Here is a 7,963-nt window from a genome sequence, read left to right as displayed (position 1 = left end):
AAATGGGCAGTTGAAGGTGGAGAATCAAAACAGCTTGAATCCCAGGGAAAACTATGTGAAGCCGTCTGGGTTTTGGTATGTTTAACAGCAAAGCCATGAGAACAGCTGAGTTTCCAAGTCTGCCAAAGAATGACTGGGCAAGGCCTGCAGCTCAGTGTGTCTCTGTTTTTGAAGGATTGGAGAAGGAACAATTCACGAGAAGTTAAAAAAAAAATGGGTCTTGATTAAAAAGATTCATTAATCTGAAATTATATGACATGTCTGTGTATATACAGATATATACACACATATATAATGTATATATACATTATATATGTATATATACGCATATATACTCATACAGACACACATGTGTATATATATAAAAAATATGTGTGTCTGCATGAGTGTATATATATATGACAATTCCAGAATGAAAGATGAGGAGGAAAACATAAACAAGAATCAACTAAACTCTGGTACTTTTACCACCTTTGTTAATACCCTTGTGTTTTTCTTAATATCTGAACAGGGACCACTTTCTATAGGTAGACAAATTGTCAGAAATGTCTTCTATGCCCAAATGCATTTGTTTTTCCCAATGAATAATTTTCCTTTATGCCTATTTTGGCATTGCTCATTACATAATTTCCCTCCTCATCATCTCATTTTGCTTCCAGAAACATATTCTCAAGTGCCTGTCTGTGTAATAAAAACTGTCTGTGGATGCTGCCCAACTCTTGATTATGTGCAGAATTGCTGAGCTGTAATGCTGCTTCTGACTCTAATATTTCTAATGCATCTTGGAATTATACCAGCATTAACCATTTATAAAATACCAACTGCCGCTTAATATGTTGAAATTTATGTGATTGCATTTCACTTCTTGCCAAAACAACAGGACTTTCTGAGATCATTTTTTCTTTCTTTGGTTTCTGGGAGAATATAATATTGAGACCCATGATCAGTTGTCAAGTGCAGGCTAGTGGTAGTTGTTTTTTCCTAAATGATTTTATGATATTGAAGAATTGCCTCAGGTCAAAATGTTCTACAGAGAGTAATATGTGAAAGCATATATTTTATATGGTGACCTTTCACCCCGTTCCACTTCTCAGTGTCTGTGTAAAGTTTAGTAACATAGTACTTAATAAGGAAACGTAACATTGCATTGAAAAGGCAAATAGTGGATCTATTTTGCACTTGGAAGATGCAAAATGAGGTTGGGATAATAGGTTCAAGCCCCTTCTCTTTTTTTTTTTTTAATATTTAAGCTAGAATCAAAGGTAGAGAATATCATGGTGAAGCATGGTCTGCCACTGATCAAAGAGTGATAAGTAGTATTTCTCAATCGCTCAGGCCATTTCTACATACATAAAGGTGGGATTCAACATGCTATGGACACTTAGTCATAGAGAAGGTCAACTGAATATTTAGACTTCCTTATGAGCTTTGAGCTAAATAATCCCAGTCTGTTATTTTCTTTGATTGCTGTAATATTCATTTGTGACACAGAAAAGTATTTCAAAATAATGTGTTTATTGGGTCTTCAATAAAAGAAAGATTTCTCTGAACTCGAGGTTGTCAATCAGGTTTTGTAATCTAAAGAATCATTACAAATATTGAGCAAGCAAATAAAAACGAAACAATATTTATCCTATCAGAAAAAAGAAAGAAACAATTGATTCTGCTTATATTCATTCTACAGCAAAAGTCCGGAGATGTAACCTTGTGAATTTATTGCTTCCATAATAGCTATTTTTAGTCAATCGATAGGCAGACACATTTAGCATTTATGGAGTTGAACATGGTACTAGTTTCTGGGGATAAAAACCAACTCTAGAATAACTCACATTCTATGCAGGTTAGAAGGAATAAAGGAAGGCTTCCTTGTAGAAGAATTTGGGTGGGGTTTCAACAGGCAATTAAAAGCTTTTCTGGAGGGAAATGGGAAGAAGAAATAAAATTCTAGCAAAAGGAAACAATGTGTATGAAGGCTTGGAAATTGCTTTTTGTTAAATGTATTTGTTTGTTTCACATACTAAGAGTCAGAGAATAGAAATAGGGAGAATTGGCCAGTTGTGGTGGCTCACGCCTGTAATCCCAGCACTTTGGGAGGCCAAGGTGGGCGGATCATGAGGTCAGGAGTTCAAGGCCAGCCTGACCAACATGGTGAAACTCTGTCTCTATTAAAAATACAAAAATTATCCCGGTGTAGTGGCACACGCCTATAGTCCCAGCTACTCCGGAGGCTGAGGCAGGAGAAACGCTTGAACCCGGGAGGCTGAGGTTGCAGTGAGCCAAGATCGCGCCACTGCACTCCAGCCTGGGCGACAGAGTGAGACTCCATCTCAAAAAAACAAAACAAAACAAAAACAAAACAAAGAAATAAGGAGAATGATGAGGGAATATCAGTAGAAAATATTAAGGAGGTTCTGATATTTTAGTGTCTCACTCAAGATGAGATAAAGTAATTGCCCTACTCGTAAAATTATGATGTAAACGTGAAGGACATTTAAACATGGTTCCTGGAGAAATGTCTGACATGCAGAGAACACTTTATCTCCAAGATTTTAATAAAAGCTGTTAGGGTAAATATTACTTCTCAGCCAATCAACTTAACCTTGAAGTTGAGCTTCAAGATCATGACACCTGTTACTTAAATCAGTCCAAGCATAGTTAAGTTCATGGCATTTGCCTGAGGAACAGCCTGTATCTGAAGGAATCTCATAGATTAGTCCTCCAATATAAAATAAATCCTTCGTAGATCTGACTGTTTAAGATGTAAAATTTTAAACCTGAAGAATCTCTTGAACCACTGATTCAGGATTCTGCCCGCGTGCCTCCTCAAACATTTTGCTCTCAGAGCTCTGGGGTAGGTCAGGTTAGGGCTACAGAAGACCTATGACAAACCCCCTTGTCCTTCCCTACCATCCAGAATGTTGACAGAGAGCCACCACTGCACACTGAAAAACATATGTAATTCAGGCAGGACCATGTGTAGCTAAAATTCTAAAAGGACTTCATAAAACTACCTGAATCAGCAGAATAATGACTCATCCAAAATGCTCAAACCTTAATAGGGCAAAAAGAGACGGCTTCATTGTCCTCCTCAAGATGGGGAGATTATTCTGGATTACTCTGGTGAGCCCAATCTAGTCAAATGAGTTCTTAAAACTGGAAGAGGGCCCGGGTGCAGTGGCTCACACCTGTAATCCCAGCACTTTGGGAGGCCGAGGTGGGCAGATCATGAGGTCAGGAAATCGAGACCATCCTGGCCAACGTGGTGAAACCCCGTCTTTACTAAAAATACAAAAAGTTAGCCGGGTGTAGTGGCACGTATCTGTAGTCCCAGCTACTCCAGAGGCTGAGGCAAGAGAATCGCCTGAACCAGGGAGGCGGAGGTTGCAGTGAGCCAAGATTGTGCCATCACACTCCAGCCTGAGTGCAGAGTGAGATTCCGTTAAAAAAAAAAAAAAAAAAACTGGAAGAGGGAGGCAGAAGGTTGAGGCTAAAGATGGCAGCATGAGAAGGACTGGAAGTGGCCTTGGTGTTCTGAGATGCCGTGACCACGTGCAAAGACCCAAGAGATCCCCCTGGGAGAAAAGATTGGCCTCAAGCCAACAGCTGGTAAGGAAATGGGGCCTTCAGTCCTATAACTGCATAAAAATGAATTCTGCCAACATCTGAATGAGGAAGAAAGAGGCTCCACCCCTATCGCCTATAGAAAGGAAACCAGCCCTGTAACTCCTCGGTCTTAACTGAGTGAAGTTGTGTCAGACTCTTGAGCCACAGAAATGCAAGGTCTTACATTTTACGTTGTTTTAAGCCACTACGTTTTTGGTAATTTGTTATGACTGCCTAGAATCCTAATATACCACCAAAATGTGTGGCAAAAATAATTATTCTATTGACATTTAAGAAAGGGATGGGAAGGATACAATTTTTAGGAAAGAGTTCTACTGAAGTGAAATTTGAACTAGCTTTGAAGGACTCCGGAATATGAACAGGGTTTAGGAGGAAATAGTCATTCCTTCCAAGCAAAGTTCACAGAGAAGAATCTGAGGAGAGGCCTCTGACTAAAGCAGAAGGCTTGTGTGGGGAAGGAGTTGGAATGAACTCTGGATTAGAAATGTGTTCTGGAGGGCTTTGCCTACAACATGAGAAATTTGAGCTATCGGAGGAAATTCTTATTTCAGCTCACCCCTATAGAGAAGCTATATGAGTTTATCTGCTTGCTGCCTAACATGCACTGACATCATTGCATCTTGCTGCCTTCTCACACGCCTCTTCAGCAACATCAAGGACAACAACCAACAAAAAGAATTCACATTTATTGAGTGATGACTGAATACTATGCACTATACTAGGAACTGTATTCATGTTATATACTAAATCCTCAAATCCTGTTTTTAAATGAATTCATTGAGGCTTAGAGAGATTCAGTTAACTCACATTAGGACACAGAACTACCAGGGACAAATCCAGTGTTCAAATCTAGAGCCCAGAGTCCCAGCTGTTTTATGCAAGGCCATCTATGAACATCAGATTTGCATTTCATTTTTCTTGCCTGGAGAATATTTTATTCACGTGTGTTTTATTAGGCATCTCTAGATACAATAAAGATTATGCATGCTGACATATGTATAATCAACTGTTTTAAAAATGAAACTGAAAAATAGATCCAGTCATTCAGACCAGAGAGAGGCTTATAATGACCACAGCATGATTCATCCAAAAATTGTTAATACGTTATGGCCAAAAACTCCAGCTGGTTACAAAAATGATTCAAGGATCAAATATAAACCTAAGCAAATTTGCATCTGAGTCTAAAAAAACACCTGGCGTTTATGCAACTATAGAGACTACTATCCCCACAGTTTTATCTGTAGTGAAGTGCAGCTGGGACCCCAGCGTTGAATAGGTTAATAGAATTGCTTTTGTTTTATTCCGTTGAAATATCTCTCTTTGCTCCCATCATTCTCCATAGATTGTCATGACCGGAGGTAAACTGAACATCTGAAAAGGACCTAATTAACATTGTGCGCAAGTGAAAGAATAAATGAATAAATGAATAAAAGAATGAATGAGTACGGATGCTGAGAACTGAGATGTGGCATTTCCATACTGGCAGAAGCTCCGAAAGAAACAGTCATCACTTCCTGTCCTACTGCACGCAATGTGTTAGGCAGTGCTTTGCTGAAATCCAGAATATAAAGTTAAACTTTATGAGTTAAAAGTTTGAACTTTTGAGCGAGATGTAATTAAGCACAAATTAGTTTGTAGAATCCTAAATGTCAGTGCATCTAAACAAAGTACATCTATGTTTATTTGAAAGCAAAAAACGATGACACATTTTTAGAGAATTAAAATAAACTGATCATTGAAATTGAATTAATTTTTAATGGTAAAATTAATTTGAGTGAAGTAGAAAGAATGCGGCTCATAATGTTTTATTGATGATGCATAAAAATGATCACAAGTCATTACTCATTCACTTGAAAGCCAGCGTTCTTCCAGGAGAATAAATTTCTGTTGTTTTTGTTTGATTGGATTTGATTTATAATTGTGTTCGATTAGGTAATATAAGTAAGTATAAGAAATGTCAAAAGGTTAATCCTCTCATCCTCATCCATTGCTACTTTATTTTTCCTCTAGAGGCTATTATAGTTTCTTTTGTATCCTTTCAGAAAGCTGTATATCTATACTATGCCTATAAATCTACCTATCTAAAACCTAACCATACACGTAGGGTATTTATTACTATAAAAGTCAGCAAGAGATGGTGGATAAAACCTACTTTTCCACAGCTAATTAGAAGGATAGCATTAACTAGAAATACCATTTGACCCAGCAATCCCATTGCTGGGTATATACCCAAAGGATTATAAATCATGCTACTATAAAGACATGTGCACACGTATGCTTATTGTGGCACTGTTCACAATAGCAAAGACTTGGAACCAACCCAAATGTCCATCAATAATAGACTGGATTAAGACAATGTGGCACATATACACCATGGAATACTATGCAGCCATAAAAATGGATGAGTTTATGTCCTTTGCAGGGACATGGATGAAGCTGGAAACCAACATTCTCAGCAAACTCACAAGGACAGAAAACCAAACACTGCAAGTTCTCACTCATAGGTGGGAAATGAACAATGAGAACACTTGGACACAGGGTGGGGAACATCACACAGCAGGACCTGTTGGGGGGTCGGGGGCTGGGGGAGGGATAGCATTAGGAGAAACACCTAATGTAAATGACGAGCTGATGAGTGCAGCAAACCAACATGGCACATGTATACCTTTGTAACAAACCTTCACGTTGTGCACATGTACCATAGAACTTAAAGTATAATTAAAAAAAATTTATGTGGCTATGAATGACAATAAATGGAGCTGATGGAGTATGCATTATTGCTATTATTTAGCCTCTGTACTGGGCAAATAGATTGTATGGTAGTTAAAATCATGGGCTCAAAAACCAGACTCCAGCAATGAGCTGTGTCACTACTCTGTGCCTTGATGTGTAAAATGTGAATTCAAACAGTGATACCTGAGAGGATTACTGAGACAAATCAGGCAAGCAAATTTTAGAACAGGTCAATAAAAATTGATAGGGAAGAGAAAAGAAAGACAGCAAAGGTGGGCCAGTGAGTGTTCAGAAGATGGGTCAGTGAGTGTTCCGGTGTGTGCATGTGTCCTTAAACTCAAGAGTGCTTTGAAAAAAATCTTTATAATTACATTGCCCATTTGCTTTCAGAAAATGAGATTATTTATTCATTTTTCAATCTCAATTCATTTTTCAATTAGAAAGCTCATTTACACATTTGGAATCTGTCACAATCGCAAGGATGTGGAACCAACCTGTGTGCCCATTGACCAATGAATAGATAAAGAAAATGTGGTATATATACACCATGGAATACTACTCAGCCATAAAAAGGAATGAAATAGTGTCTTTTCCACAACTTAGATGCAACTGGAGGCCATTATTCTAAGTGAAATAATTCAGAATACCATTATGTTCTCACTCATAAGTGGGGGCTAAGTTATGAGGATGCAAAAACATCCAGAGTGATATAATGGACTGACTCTAAGGTCTCATGGAGCGGGGTGAAGAATAAAAGACAACATATTGGGTACAGTGTACACTGCTTGGGTAAGGAGTACACTAAAAATCTCAGAATTCACCACTAGAGAACTCATCCAGGTAACCAGCAACCACCTATACCCCCCAAACTATTGAAATAACAAATTCGGAATTTGAGATTTAAAACTTGATTCAAATACATTTCTTATTTTTTTCCAGCAGTGTATTGAAGTAATGAATGAAATCATGTTAGAGTTTTCAAACCTCAAAGGCTTAGACTCTAAGTGGTAGGTCAACAAACTATTGCTTTCCTATGGTTCTAGCTTTTGCACTAATTTACTGCTCCAGGCCATTATGACTTCTTTTTCTTTAGAATCCCATTGTACTTCTTTAACCTTGCTTCATCTGCTCTCTCGCATTTGATGATTAATAATAGAGGACAAAAAATATATATTTTTTAAATACCCAGGTTTCTCATTATCAGCCACAGCGCATCAATATGAAAATCTCTTTAAAGGCAAGAAAAAATGCTTTCAACAGGAACAAGTGGACCTCGAAGCGCACGTCTCTGCCATATCGGTCGTTATCACTACAACCAGCCATGCTTCCATCTCTTTCATATTACCAAATGTAGTGCTGACAGAGAGGTGGGAGAAACTTAACCTTTTGGCAAACAGTAGATAGATATGAAAATAGAACCAAGCAAATATATCCAGTTCCCCATAACCTCTCCTCAAAGGACCTCACTAAAGTTGATATCACCTTGGCTCCCATGACAACCCCGACAAAGATAAATAGGTGTCAAATATGCATTTGCTCCTAAGGCCTCTGGGAATTGCTACCGAACACAAATGTGAAATTCAGGCTGAATTAATCTCCTGATACG

This window comes from Homo sapiens, chromosome 17, assembly GCF_000001405.40.
Source record: "Homo sapiens chromosome 17, GRCh38.p14 Primary Assembly".
NCBI classification, from domain to species: domain Eukaryota; kingdom Metazoa; phylum Chordata; class Mammalia; order Primates; family Hominidae; genus Homo; species Homo sapiens.
This window is presented reverse-complemented; position numbering follows the sequence as displayed.